The 13,773-nt window shown below is 42.4% G+C and overlaps 1 protein-coding gene across 11 annotated transcripts in view; it reads left to right on the top strand.

Annotated features, from left to right (window-relative positions):
* The window catches only part of SEC22C (SEC22 homolog C, vesicle trafficking protein), a 53,110-nt gene that overhangs the window by 33,584 nt on the left and 5,753 nt on the right, over positions 1 to 13,773 (top strand). For 9 of the 11 annotated variants that reach the window (NM_001201572.2, XM_047449170.1, XM_047449168.1 and 6 more), the window contains exons 3-6: positions 3,809 to 3,972; positions 6,199 to 6,378; positions 9,799 to 9,917; positions 11,500 to 11,565. In NM_001201572.2, the coding sequence (NP_001188501.1) occupies positions 3,809 to 3,972; positions 6,199 to 6,378; positions 9,799 to 9,917; positions 11,500 to 11,565 (529 nt within the window). Of the gene's footprint in view, positions 1 to 3,606; positions 3,731 to 3,808; positions 3,973 to 6,198; positions 6,379 to 9,798; positions 9,918 to 11,499; positions 11,566 to 13,773 lie in introns of all 11 variants that reach the window. The other 2 variants (XM_047449171.1, NM_001201584.2) reach the window with 2 other exon arrangements.

Here is a 13,773-nt window from a genome sequence, read left to right as displayed (position 1 = left end):
TAAAAAAAACTTAACTAAGTTTACACTGTTAGTAATGGGTCAGCCCAGGATTTGAATGCAGGCAGTTAGGCACCAAAGTCTGCTTCTTATGGGTTATACAATTTCCTGTTCTAGGACTCAGAGCAAGAAGCCAGTCATTCTATGGAGGCATCAGGGGCAAGGCAGATTTTAGAATATCAAAATGACTTGTTAGATTTTACGTCTATTTTCTCGTTTTAGACCTTTACTTAGCAAGTCTCTTTTGCTCTCCTTATATTTTTATTTTTTATTTTATTTTTTAGAGACAGGGTCTTAGCTGGGTGCAGTGGCTCACGCCTGTAATCCCAGCACTTTGGGAGGCTGAGGCGGGAAGATCGCGAAGTTCAAGACCAGCCTGGGCAATATGATAAGACCCCATCTCTACAAAAAAATTAAAAATTACCCAAGTGTGGTAGGGTGCACCTGTACCAGCTACTTGGGAGGCTGAGGTGGGAGGATTGCTCAAGCCCAGGAGGTCGAGGCCACAGTGAGCCATGTTCACACCTCAGCCTCCAAAGTAGCTGGAACTCTGTCTCCAGATAGATAGGTAGATTGGATAGATTGATTGATTGATAGATAGCCTCCCAAGTAGCTGAGTCTACACACCACTATACCCAGCTAATTTATTTTTATTTTTTAGAGACAAGGTCTTGCCATGTTGCCCAGGCTGGTCTTAAACTCCTAGGCTCAAGTGATCCTCCCGCCTTGGCCTTCCAAAGCCCTGGGATTATAGGTATGAGCCACCTTGCCTTGCACCCTTTTGTTCTCCTTGAATAGTAAATTTTTTTTTTTTTTTTTGAGACGGAGTCTCGCTCTGTCGCCCAGGCTGGAGTGCAGTGGCACGATCTCGGCTCACTGCAAGCTCTGCCTCTTGGGTTCACACCATTCTTCTGCCTCAGCCTCCCGAGTAGCTGGGACTACAGGTGCCCACCACCACGCCTGGCTAATTTTTTTTTGTATTTTTAGTAGAGACGGCGTTTCACCGTGTTAGCCAGGATGGTCTCGAGCTCCTAACCTCGTGATTCTCCTGCCTCGGCCTCCCAAAGTGCTGGGATTACAGGCGTGAGCCACCGCACCCGGCCTTGAATAGTAAATTTTTAGTTGACCTGCTAAGCTGAGGTCCTTTTAGGGGAATTCAGTCTCAGAATTATAAAAACAAAAGGAAAAGTCCAGGCCTGACCCCAGGCTAGGTGGTAATGTCAGGCTAGAAGGGCCATGTCCTGAAGGGGGTGACAAATAATAGGCACATGCAGCTGTCACCTGGTGATGTGGGCTCTGGATGTTTAGGAGCAAACACTGAGTTGCACCTGCCCACATGTGCAGCCCCTTTCTCTGGACATGCTGAACATGCTGTCCTTGATGGTCTCTCCTTTACTATGCTGTGATTAACTGATTTGTACTTCAAATAGGAAAGCTTTTCTCTGTTAAAGGCTATTTTTCACAGAAAAAAGAAGTCTAAGACTTCAGATTTAAATCCTGGATACTTCAGTAGTATTTTGGAAAAAGGAATAAAAAATGTTCTACTCATTTGTAATTTTGAATTAAATATTTACCATTATTTTCGCAGAGGAAATAGACTTTCTTTTCTTACAGGTGAGCAGTACCATAGCTTTTAATAGTAAGGAGTGTGTTAGTTCCCTAAGGCTGCCATAACAAATGACCACAAACTGGCTTCAAACAACAGAATTCGTTCTCTCACAGGTATCGCAGGGCCATGTTCCCTCTACAAACTTTAAGGAAGAATCCTTCCTAAACCTCTGCTACTTTCTGGCAGTCATTGGCAATCCTTGGTTTTCCTTGGCTTGTAGATGCGTTACTGCAGGCTCTGTCTCCATGGTTGCATGGTCTTCTTCCTTCTGTCTCTGTGTCCAAATTTCCTTTCATATAAGGATACTGATCATTAGATGAGGGCCCACCCTAATCCAGTATGACTTCATTTTATCTTGGTTACATCTTCAAAGACTCTGTTTCTTTGAGTTAGGACATCAGTAAATCTTTTTGGGGGGACAAACTCAACCCACACCAGGGGTCCTCTTTCAAATAGAAACACCTCCATCCTAGAGTGGCCTAGACCCTTCTGAAGGATTTCTTCCATAAGGAGGAGAGTTGTCCTTTTTTTTAGATTGGAAAAGTTTTTATATAGGGAGTTACAGTTTCAAAAAGTTGGTAGAACAACATAACCTAAAAACCGTCCTGCTGAAAACATCCAGAAATGAGGGTAAATATATATCGACAATTACTTTAAATGTGTAGTTAATCTTGAAAGAAAGAAATCCTAAGATGCTAGAAATGAAAGGGGGGCAGAATATTAAGGTAGTAAGTGTGTGAGCGGACAGTGAGGCTCCTGGCATTCAGTCACCATAAAATTGGAGCTTGGTTTGGGCTTACATAGGATGGAGTGTCAGAACAAGACCCTTGTGGCTGGGTGCAGTGGTTCACGCCTGTAATCCCAGCACTTTGGGAGGTTGAGGCAGGCAGATTGCTTGAGCCCAGTGGTTCGAGACCAGCCTGGGCAACATAGAGAGACCCCCATCTCTACAAAAACACGAAAATTAGCCAGGTGTGGTGGCACACGCCTGTAGTCCCAGCTACTCGGGAGGCTGAGGTGGGAGGATGGCTTGAGCCTGGGAGGTTGAGGCTGCAGTGAGCTGAGATTGTGCCATTGCACTCTAGCATGGATGACAGAGTGAGACCCTGTGTCAAAACAAAACAAAACAAAACACTCTTGCATAAAGGAAAGTTCTTGTCAGGCCACAACCTAATGGAATGGTGATAGGTGAGGGAAATAATTTTCCCATTGATACAGGGTAACTCACCTCTACTTGGCTTTGTGTGGGAAGGAAAAATAAATTTCACCTAAGAAATTGAAATGTTGTTCTTGCGCCTCGTAAAAGGTTGAAGTTGGAGTGTATACTCCCCAAAGTCTAGGAATTCCTAAGCCAAGGTTGAAACATCAGTATTGGTCCCAGAGTGATGACACTGCTATGGTAGCCAGCCAGAGCAAATGCAGAACCACACTGGAAGAAGTGTGCCACAACTTGGGCTTCAGGGGATTCTTACAAAAAAAAGTCCCATAGGGATGAGTTCTCAGCAAAAAGGACAAAACACAAGAGGAGACATTCCACAGTGAGTGGGAGTCAGTAGACACACAGATAGGTGACCTAGAACCCCTGTACCCTGAACTTGAAATGATTGCATGACAGCCCAAAAGGGAGTAGAAAAAGAAGAAAAGCCCTGTATTTATTTTATGAGACCAAAATAACCTAAATACCACAATCAGATGAAGACAGTATAAGAAAGGAAAATTATAGGCCAGTCTTATTTGCATAGACACAAAAGTCCCAATTAAAATGTTAGCAAACTAAATCCAGCAGTTGTATGTTTATGAATATGTAGGAACTTAGATCCAACAAGGGCTTATTTTAGGATGCCAGGATCATTTAACATTAGGAAATCTGTTGATGTAGATTAAAGAAGAAAAACGTTTTCTCAATAGATGTGGAGAAGTCTGAGGCTAATTCCCCCAATAGAATATGCATCCCTCATGCATGAATAAATAAGAGTGATCACAGGCTGTCATTGATTAAGACTACTAGACATTTTAAAGGAAGCGGAAGAAAGACAGTCTCAGGAATAGGTCGAACTGAAGAGACAATATACCTGCAGCAAACAGCTACAGGACTGTTTAAAGCCAAGCAAGTGCAGAATTCAGGTAAGGTTGTGTCTGGGTGTGGGATGGGAATACATGGGGCTGTTTCCTGGTAATACAGATATTGCCCTTTTGTTTCAGTTTTTCTTCTTTCGGGGACGTGGCCTGCATGGCTATCTGCTCCTGCCAGTGTCCAGCAGCCATGGCCTTCTGCTTCCTGGAGACCCTGTGGTGGGAATTCACAGCTTCCTATGACACTACCTGCATTGGCCTAGCCTCCAGGCCATACGCTTTTCTTGAGTTTGGTTTGTAACCCTCTTTCATATTTATTTTTCTCTTCCATGGTGTTATATGTGTAGAATTTACAGTTTAGGTTTGGCTTTGACCATCAAGGAAAACCACTGGAGATGCAAAAACATGTCATTGAAGAACAGACTTGTACCATGAGATTTCATATCAATTGAAGTGTCCCGGAAAGCGTCAAGGTTTAACACTCTGGCTTTTCATCTCCACAGAGCCTGGGGGCAGGGTGGAGGAAGGGTGAAACGTGTAGGTTATAACCCACAGCTCTCTGAAGCTGGGGTCAGCAAATGATGGCCCATAGGCCAGCCGCCTGTTTTATAAATAAAGCAGAACGTGGCTATGCTTATTCTTTTACATGTTGTCTGTGGCTGCTTTTGCCCCACGACAGCAGAGTTGAGTTGTGACAGAGACCATGTAGCCACCAACCTAAAATATTTACTAACTGGCATTGTAAGAAACTTTTGTTGACCCCTGCCCCAGAGCATTACTGCTCAAAGGGTGTTTACCATCAGGAGGTAAGCACAGAAAGTGAGAACTGGTGTTTAGAAATTCTTACAGTAATTTGACATTCCTGTGATTATTTTTTATTGCTTTTTTTAAAGCAAAATATCAGTCTGCGGTGGTTTGGAAGTAAGAAAAAAACAGTTCCTTGACCCAGAAGTTTGCTCTGGAAAAATGATACTTCTTTTCTAGGCTCTGCCAGAAAGGCCTTGTTGAGGCTTAGAGACTTTGGAACACAGCATAATAATCAGTGTGTGCCCTATTTTGGTCAGGTGTGGGTCATTTTGAGCTCTTGGGAGAAGAGGAATGGAGATGGCAGTTGGGGGACAGTCTGTGCTCTCCGTGTAAACAGCTGCTGACTCTGTGATGTTCTTAAACAAAGGTTTGGCAGCATTTGTTATAAATGGTCAGGGGGCAGAACCAGCACCTGGAAGTGTTGCCACTTAGGCTTTCTGGCTACTCCTGCCATAGCCCTCACATTCCTTCATGTGTTCTACTGGCTAGCCCATCAGGAATGGGGCTAGCACCCTCTTTTGGTGTCACCCTGGTAGGCAGGCTCCAGCCTGGTAAAGTTCTGCCCCTGAGTCTCCCTGTGAGGTCTTAGTCAAGCTTGTGCTCTGGGCCACACTTCTTTCTCTGAAGAGGGCTGCTAGTCTAAAACAGACCACAGCTGCAGCATCCCTGGGCTGTGAGTTGATTTGGAGCTCGGTAGACCTGTGTTCTTCTCTCCCCTTATCTCTGCATGTGCCTTCCTTCTAAAGCCATGTGCTTGATCTGATGGGAGCCCCTTTTCCAGCATCATGTTTGCTCATTGTTGAGTGGGAGTAGAATGAGTCAAAGTACACTGAGAGTAGAATTATACAGATTTTGCTTTGCCAGTTTGTATGAAACTTCAAGAACTGTTCAGATGTGATAATGGATTTATACTAACATAAATTTAAGAATTAAAATGAATACTTTTCAAATATATAATCCTAGTTTCCACAACGTATTCATTTGTATTTTTTTTTCAAACAAGCCCTTTTTTTTTGAGTTAATCAGGTCAGGAATAACTGTCTCCATTTTTCAAGCTTAGAAATATTCTGTAAATTGCCTAGGGTTGTACCGTACTATCAGAAGTGGTAAGGGGCTAAGACGCATGCCCCTTTCCCCCGACTCTCTCATCACTGAGGTTCTGTGATGCATTATTGCCTTTTTAGTCAATCACATTTTAATTATCCTGCTCTGAAGTGATTGATCAGACAGTGTTCATATTAGCAATCATTTGGCCTTTGTGTTTAACTTGACGCTTTTCAGAATCTGGCTGATTTATTAGCTCTTAGAAATGTGAACTTCAGCTGGGTGCAATGGTTCACGCCTATTATCCCAGCACTCTGGGAGGCTGAGGCAGGAGAATCCCTTGAGCTCAGGAGTTTGAGACCAGCCTGGGCAATACAGTGAGACCTTGTCTCTACAGAAAAACAATTTAAAAATGAAAAAAATTAGCCAGGTGTGGTGGCACACATCTGTGGTCTCAGCTACTTGGGAGGCTTAGGTGGGAGAATCACTTGAGCCTGGGAGGTCAAGGCTGCAGTGAGTTGTGATCGCACCACTGCACTGCACTCCAGAGTGGGCGACAGTGAGACCCTATCTTCAAAAAAAAGAAATGTGAACTTCATTTTGTACGTATTGTCTTATAATATCCATTCTGATGAAAATGCTTAACTTGTGTTGCTCTCTTTTTGCAGACAGCATCATTCAGAAAGTGAAGTGGCATTTTAACTATGTAAGTTCCTCTCAGATGGAGTGCAGCTTGGAAAAAATTCAGGAGGAGCTCAAGTTGCAGCCTCCAGCGGTTCTCACTCTGGAGGACACAGATGTGGCAAATGGGGTGATGAATGGTCACACACCGATGCACTTGGAGCCTGGTAAGTGGCTTGTTGTTCCCTGATGTTGATGAAGTGATATTGTGTATTTCAAATGGACGTTGATTTTTTTTTTCACTAGAAAGCTATTTTTTGGGGAGAGGGAGTAGTATAAAATATGCTGAGAAAAATATGGGCCCATCCTGTTTCTTGGTGGCTGTTATAAAAACTTTGACTACAGGCCAGGCGTGGAGGCTCATGCCTGTAATCTCAGCACTTTGGGAGGCCAAGTCAGGCGGATCACTTGAGTCCAGGAGTTTGAAACCAGCCTGGGCAACATGGCAAAACCCCATCTCTATCAAAAATACAAAAAATTAGCCAGAGGTGGTGGCTCGTGCCTGTAGTCTCAGCTACTGCAGAGACTGAAGTAGGGGAATCACCTGAGCCCGGGAAGTCGAGGCTGCAGCGAGCCATGATTGTGAGCCACTGCACTCTAGCCTGGGTGACAGAATGAGACCCTGTCTCAAAAAAGAAAAAAATTGACTATTATGACAGTGGATTGGTTTGAGGGGAAACTATTGTGATGAAATTCAGGAGCCGAAGAGTGACTTGGCAGGTTACTTTTGTTTTTCTTTTCCTTCTTCTTCTTCTTTTTTTTTTTTTCAAATAGAGACAAGGTTTCACCATGTTACAGCCCAGGCTGGTCTCGAACTCCTGGGCTCAAGCCATCATCCTCCTGCCTCGGCCTTTCAGAGTGCTGGGATTACAGGTGTGAGCTACCACGCTTAGCTGGCAGGTTATTTTCTTAATTAGGGTGAAGTCTACAAGTTTATTATTTTTAAATTTTATGTTTTTATTTATTTATTTATTTAAGTCCAAGTTGTTCTGACAGAACTACAAGTTTAAATGTTATAAAGAAGATTCATTCTCTTTTTCTATAAGTTACTTATTGAACTGTATAGATTGGTATTATATATATTATATATATAATATATATATTATATATAAAATATATATAATATATATAAAACAATTATTATTTATATATATATATATATAGAGAGAGAGAGAGAGAGAGAGAGAATCCTTATCATCTTATTTACTGAAATGTTGTAGATCTGAAACCCCCACTCTTCTTGTTGGAGGGAGGACAGTGGGGATGAGAGCGTTGGACAGGGGGCTGGAGCCAGGGCTTCTAACGTTCTCACTGTCTGGCTGTCTCTGAGACCTGGGATCTCCCTCTATCCCTGTGGATTTCAGAGACCTCATGTGAAGGAAGAGGTCTTAATGAACGTGATCACAGTGTGCTGATATTCCATGCCTTTGTCATTAATGTTATTAGCCACTCAATGCTTATCACATAACAAAGTATGATTTTTTGCATTCCTGTTTATAGTTACATACAATTAAACTAATATTTAATTCAATTGGATATTTATATTCGAAGAATTCTATAATGGCATAAGAGCTGAATCCTTTGCTAAAAGAAGTGTCTACACTATAATAGTCTTAATTACTTTGTTTTTAACTGTTTTATGCTAAACTCATTTCTTGAATTTTAAAAGTGATGTATTATATTCATGGTTTTGACTTAACTTTGTGTTTTAGTTTAATGTGTTTCAACCAATACTTGGATTGGCTCTCATTCCAGTCAATAAGTGTTTCTAGTTTATGTTGAGAATAAACTTAATTTTTGTAAAAGGAAGACTGGGTAATTGAGCTCCAAGATTTTCCCTTACCATATATGAATGCAGGCATATCTTTGTAATGTATGTTTTGTTTTTTAAACACTTAGACAAGAGGAGCAAATCCAGAAAGTGTCACCTTGCCCGTCTTTCTAGGACATTTTACTGTGATTTGATTTACCCTATTGTCCTGAGGCTAGAATCTTTACAGGTAGCATATTCTGTTCTAACAGTAACTTTTAATTGCTCAGTGGAAACTCTAACACACTAACAATAGGCATAAGTTGGATTGTGGCGAGGTATTTGTGTGTGTGTGAAATATAAGTGTAAGAAAGGAGTATAGCGAGAGAATGGGAGGGACACCATTTAATTGTGTGAACCAAAATCAATTTCAGTGGTTATCTTTACAGAGAAAATGAGCATTTGTTCTAATTATAGTTCTAGAAACAGCTTGTAACCTGAATAATCAATGTTTCCCTCTTTCCAATTATTTTAGAATTTTAAAAATTGCATTTGCTGTGAATTGCTCTAGAAGTGCACGTGACATCGCATATTGTTATTGTCAGAGAAAGAGGACAAGTTGAATGTTGAGGCATATAATAGAAATGCTTTAAACATTTGACAACCAATTACAAATAAAGCCTTGGTCCTCTCTGGTAGTATAAGAAACTGTTTTATTTACTTACTTATTTAATTTTTTTTTGAGACAGGTTCTTGCTCTGTCGCCCAGGCTGAAGTACCATGGTGCAATCTTGGCTTACTGCAACCTCCACCTCCAGGGCTCAAGCTATCCTCCCACCTTAGCTTCCTGAGTAGCGGGGACTACAGGCACATACCACCACACCTGGCTAATTTTTGTATTTTTTTTTTAATAGAGATGGGGTTTCACCATGTTGCCCAGGCTGGTCTTGAACTCCTGAGTTCAAGTGATCCTCTCACCTTAGCCTCCCAAAGTGCTGGGATTACAGGCATGAGCTACTGTGCCTGAACTTTTTTTTTTTTTTTTTTTGAGACAAGGTCGCTATGTTGCCTAGGCTTGAGTGCAGGGGCGCAATCATGGCTCACTGCAGCCTCAACCTCCCAGGCTCAGGTGATCCTCCCACCTCAGCCTCCCAGGTAGCTGGGACTACAGGTATGCGTCACCATGCCTGGATAAGTTTTTGTATTTTTTTTTTTTGTAGAGACAGGGTCTCACTATGTTGCCCAGGCTGGTTTTGAACTCCTGGGCTGACGTGATCTGCTGCCTGCCTCAGCCTCCCAGAGTGCTGGCATTACAGGTGTGTGCCAAAAATTGTTTTAGGATTTTTCAGCCTGATCCCTATTGACATTTTTGCATCAGATAATTCTTTATTTTGGAGGCTGTCCTGTGCATTCATTGTAGGATGTTTAGAAGCATTCCTGGCCTCTATCCACTAGATGCCAGTAGCAGCCTGTCTCTAGTTGTGACAACCAGAAATGACTCCAGACATGGCCAAATATCCACTGGGGGGCAGATTGCCCCTGGTTGAGAACCACTGCTTTAGATAGAAAGGAAATTAAGCACTTGAAAAACCTGTGCTTGCCTGGAAAAGAGCCTTTTTCTGGAAGAAACTTTACTCAAATACCCACATCCATTCTGTCCATCATTTCTTGGCTTTTTTCCCTCTAACTTCTGCTGCTTTTACAATTAATATGTTTGTAATTCTATGTTTAACATAGTGAACCTATCATTAGTGTAGGTCTAGTTAATGTCTTCGTTTATTTTTCTTTCATGTAGAAATTACTTACACTAGACACTTGTTTTTTTTCCATTGTGAAGCTCCTAATTTCCGAATGGAACCAGTGACAGCCCTGGGTATCCTCTCCCTCATTCTCAACATCATGTGTGCTGCCCTGAATCTCATTCGAGGAGTTCACCTTGCAGAACATTCTTTACAGGTAACCTTTTTTTTTTTTTTAAAACAGTTTAAATTGAAGGACATATGATAGAAGAAAGTGATAGGGATACATTTTATCTATAAAACTGAGGTTTTATAATTTTTCAAAACTAATATGAATTTTATTATAAATTTTATTCTTTGTAGTAAGTGAATGAATATGAAGGTTGCTCTTTTATGTCTATTGTCCTAAGAAGCAGGAGGGGCCTGCCAAGATATTGGTAAGAAATGGAGAATTTGCTACAAGGACATTAGACCACCCTGTGGCTCTTGGGACCCCAGGAGTCACTCCAGGGACTGGATTATTTACCCAGGACAAAAGGTTCATTCTCTGATTTTAAGGTTCAGGTTCTTTTTCTCCTGAGAAAAGGTTGTCCCATAATCTGATTTGTATAATGCAGATGCCACCTTCCTTGTGTCTTTGTCGAAGAATTATATGTCACTAGGAAGTTCCTTCACTGGTCTGCTCATTTCAAAGGAACTTACTATTTCAGTGCTTTTTAAAAACAGTTTTAAAATTTTGAAGTATTTTGAGAAGTATTTCAAGAAGGTATCGGCCGGGTGTGGTGACTCACTCCTGTAATTCCAGCACTTCTGGGAGGTTGAGGTGGGTGGATCACATGAGGTCAGGAGTTTGAGACCAGCCTGATCAACATGGTGAAAACCCATCTCTACTAAAAATACAAAATTAGCTGGGCGTGGTGGCGCATGCCTGTAATCCCAGCTACTCAGGAGGCTGAGGTGGGAGAGTCGCTTGAAACTGGGAGGCAGGGGTTGCAGTGAGCCAAAATTGCGCCACTGCACTCTAGCCTGGGCGACAAAAGCAAAACTCCGTCTCAAAAAAAGAAAACAAAAACAAAAAAGAGGAGGTATAAAACCATTATTAGCATCAACAAATAGATATTACTTTTAAAGATAGTGCCACCATACTCACACCCATGCATATAGTGGGTAAAGTCTGAAGCATGACTGTTGTTGAACCTCAGGAGACTGATGTAGACTGACCTGTTTGGAGAATGGCAGCAGGCCTGTGTTATGAGTGGTAACTGCCTGTTACCACATCCTGTCTTTGATCAATGTGTGTTGTGGTTTCTACTCTTATTGTTTATGATTGCTCTTAGCCAGATACTTACCAACTGTCTGTTTGTTTGTATACATTAGAATTAGTACCTGGCCAGCAAGATGGTTAAGACATAGTCCCTGCCTTGGGGGCTCTCATGGCCCAAAACAGTGTATGGTGGCAATCCTAAAGAGGCGGCAGTGCCTGGAGATGGGAGGAATTAGAGAAAGCTAGGTCTTAACAGATGCTTAGGTTTCTGAGAGGTGGAGGGATTGGCGGCCCATTCCAGGTTGCAGACTTAGCACAGTCACATGGGGACAGGAGGCACATGCTGTGACCAAGCTGTTGAAAACGATTGTATGCTAACCCTGATCTGGTGCATAAACAGGAACTTGTGTCTCACCCAGCCAGGGATTTTGTACTGTCAACCATACCAGACAGAAGGCAGAGTAAAGTGCTTTATGTCACAGTGTTTCCTTTCATCTAAATATCCCTTTCCTTGTGTTCCTTGTATTTGTTTTAGGTTGCCCATGAGGAAATTGGAAACATTCTGGCTTTTCTTGTTCCTTTCGTAGCCTGCATTTTCCAGGTGGGTGAAACGATATTTTGGTCAGTGGATTAAATCCATGACCTTACTTTGTTCTTCTGTTCATCTATCAGCAAGTTTCTAGATGTGATTTTTGTTCCACCAAGGTCATGGTTCACATCATGGACAATACCAAGCCCTTAGTGGAGGACCTTAGGCCCATCCTGGCCAGTCCTCTCATTTTACAGAGGAAGAACTTTGTGCTCATAAAGGGAAAGCCCCTTGTTCAAGGCCAAGGGGCTATTGACAGCAGCAGAACAGAAACCAGCAGTTTGGATTTGACTTCCCAGAAGGGAGGGATGAGATTACATAGGGATTGGATTAGGCCTGACTAGTGAGTGGCAAGATATTGCCTTGTGCTTATTATTAGGACAGTCCAAGCACAGAAATGTCCTTCTATAAAAGTAGCATCTGTGTACATGTAGTTTTTAAAATATAGGTCTAGGCAGGCATTGTGGCTCACACCTGTAATCCCAGTACTTTTCAAGGCCAAGGTGGGAGGATCACTTTAGGCCTGGAGTTTGAGACCAACCAGGGCAACATAGCAAGACCCCATCTCTGAACTTTTTTTTTCTTTTTTTTTTTTGAGACGGAGTCTTGCACTGTTGCCCAGGCTGGAGTGCAGTGGCACAATCTTGGCTCACTGCAAGCTCTGCCTCCCGGGTTCACGCCATTCTCCTGCCTCAGCCTCCTAAGTAGCTGGGACTGTAGGTGCCCACCACCACACCTGGCTAATTTTTTTTGTACTTTTAGTAGAGACGGGGTTTCACCATGTTAGCCAGGATGGTCTCGATCTCCTGACCTTGTGATCCACCCGCCTCGGCCGCCCAAAGTGCTGGGATTACAGGCATGAGCCACCACGCCCGACCTCTGCAAAAAATTTTTTAAAAAATATATACATATATAAGACTAGGTCAAAGAACTGCTGATTTTTTTGTTGTTGTTGTTGTTGTTGTTTTAAATAGTAATACCTTCTGACTCAGACCTGTTCTTTAGGAACTGAAGCAAACATTAGAACATTAACTAGAGGGTTTTGATTAGTTATTTTCATATAAGCTGTGTACTAAGGGGTGGCATAAAGAGGCGATTTTGAGTCCCTCATAGGCAGAGTTAATTCTAGTGAAAGCGTGGCTCTAATTCTCCTTCCTTGTCCTCCGTATGGACTAGGATTTTAGCACTGTCTCTGAATACATATTTTTTCTCCCTTTTTTTAAAATTAAAATTTCTGTTCTTAGGACGCTTTCCTTCTCTTCCACATACATCCTAGAATGGTTTATTCTTAAGAATTACCCAGGCCAGGTGTGGTGACTCATGCCTGTAATCCTAGCACTTTGGGAGGCCAAGATGTGTGGATCACTTGAGGCCAGGAGTTCAAGACCAGCCTAGGGAACCCCATCTCTATTATAATAAAAATACAAAAATCAGCTGATTATGGTGGTGCATACCTGTAGTCCCAGCTACTTGGGAGGCTTAGGCATGAGAATTGCTTGAACCCTGGAGGTGGAGGTTGCGGTGAGCTGAGATCACGCCACTGTGTTCCAGCCTGGGCAACAGAGAAAGACATTGCCTAAAAAAAATGAAAAAGCATTACCTGATTATGCAAAAAGAAATTTTCAACCCATGAAAATGCATTCATTTTTTAGAAAACAAGTCTCCAAGACCTTGGACATAGCCAGTGGCAGTTTCCTAGAGCTATGTTTTAGGACTGCAGGGATTGTACAGTTCCACCTCATTCCTTCAACTGTGTTCCTGGTTGGATAGCTCACTCCCTCCCTCTGTAGATTGAACCTTTGTCAGATTGATCCATGTTCAGTGATGTCCTTTTTTTAAAAAAAAAAAACAAAGCATTGAACCAAAATGCCGTTTCCACCTTTTGCAGAACAAGAATGGCCCCTTTTATGTGTGATAGTCATACACAAAATACCAGTCACTCTCCCTGCTGTGAGACCTTTCCCTGACTCAGAGATGCTTTGGAAGACATGATAAGGAGGGTGCCCAAGGGAAGAGTGGTGCTCAATGTAGTCGTGGCTCAGGAGAAACCAAAATAGTAAAAGCATGGCTTTCTCTCACCAGCTTGCTTGCCTGTCCTGGCTCCCTGAAGAAAAACTTCACTGGGGGGCCAGTCAGTCACGTTAGGGTCCCCTGTCTGCAGCCTGGCTGTCTGCAGCTTATGTGCAGCTCTTCTTTCTCTACTGCCAACAGCCTGGTCAT

The sequence above is a fragment of the Homo sapiens genome, chromosome 3 (assembly GCF_000001405.40).
Source record: "Homo sapiens chromosome 3, GRCh38.p14 Primary Assembly".
In the NCBI taxonomy this organism is placed as follows: Eukaryota; Metazoa; Chordata; class Mammalia; order Primates; family Hominidae; genus Homo; species Homo sapiens.
Note: the sequence above shows the minus strand (reverse complement) of the source record. Positions and strands in the feature narration are given on the sequence as shown.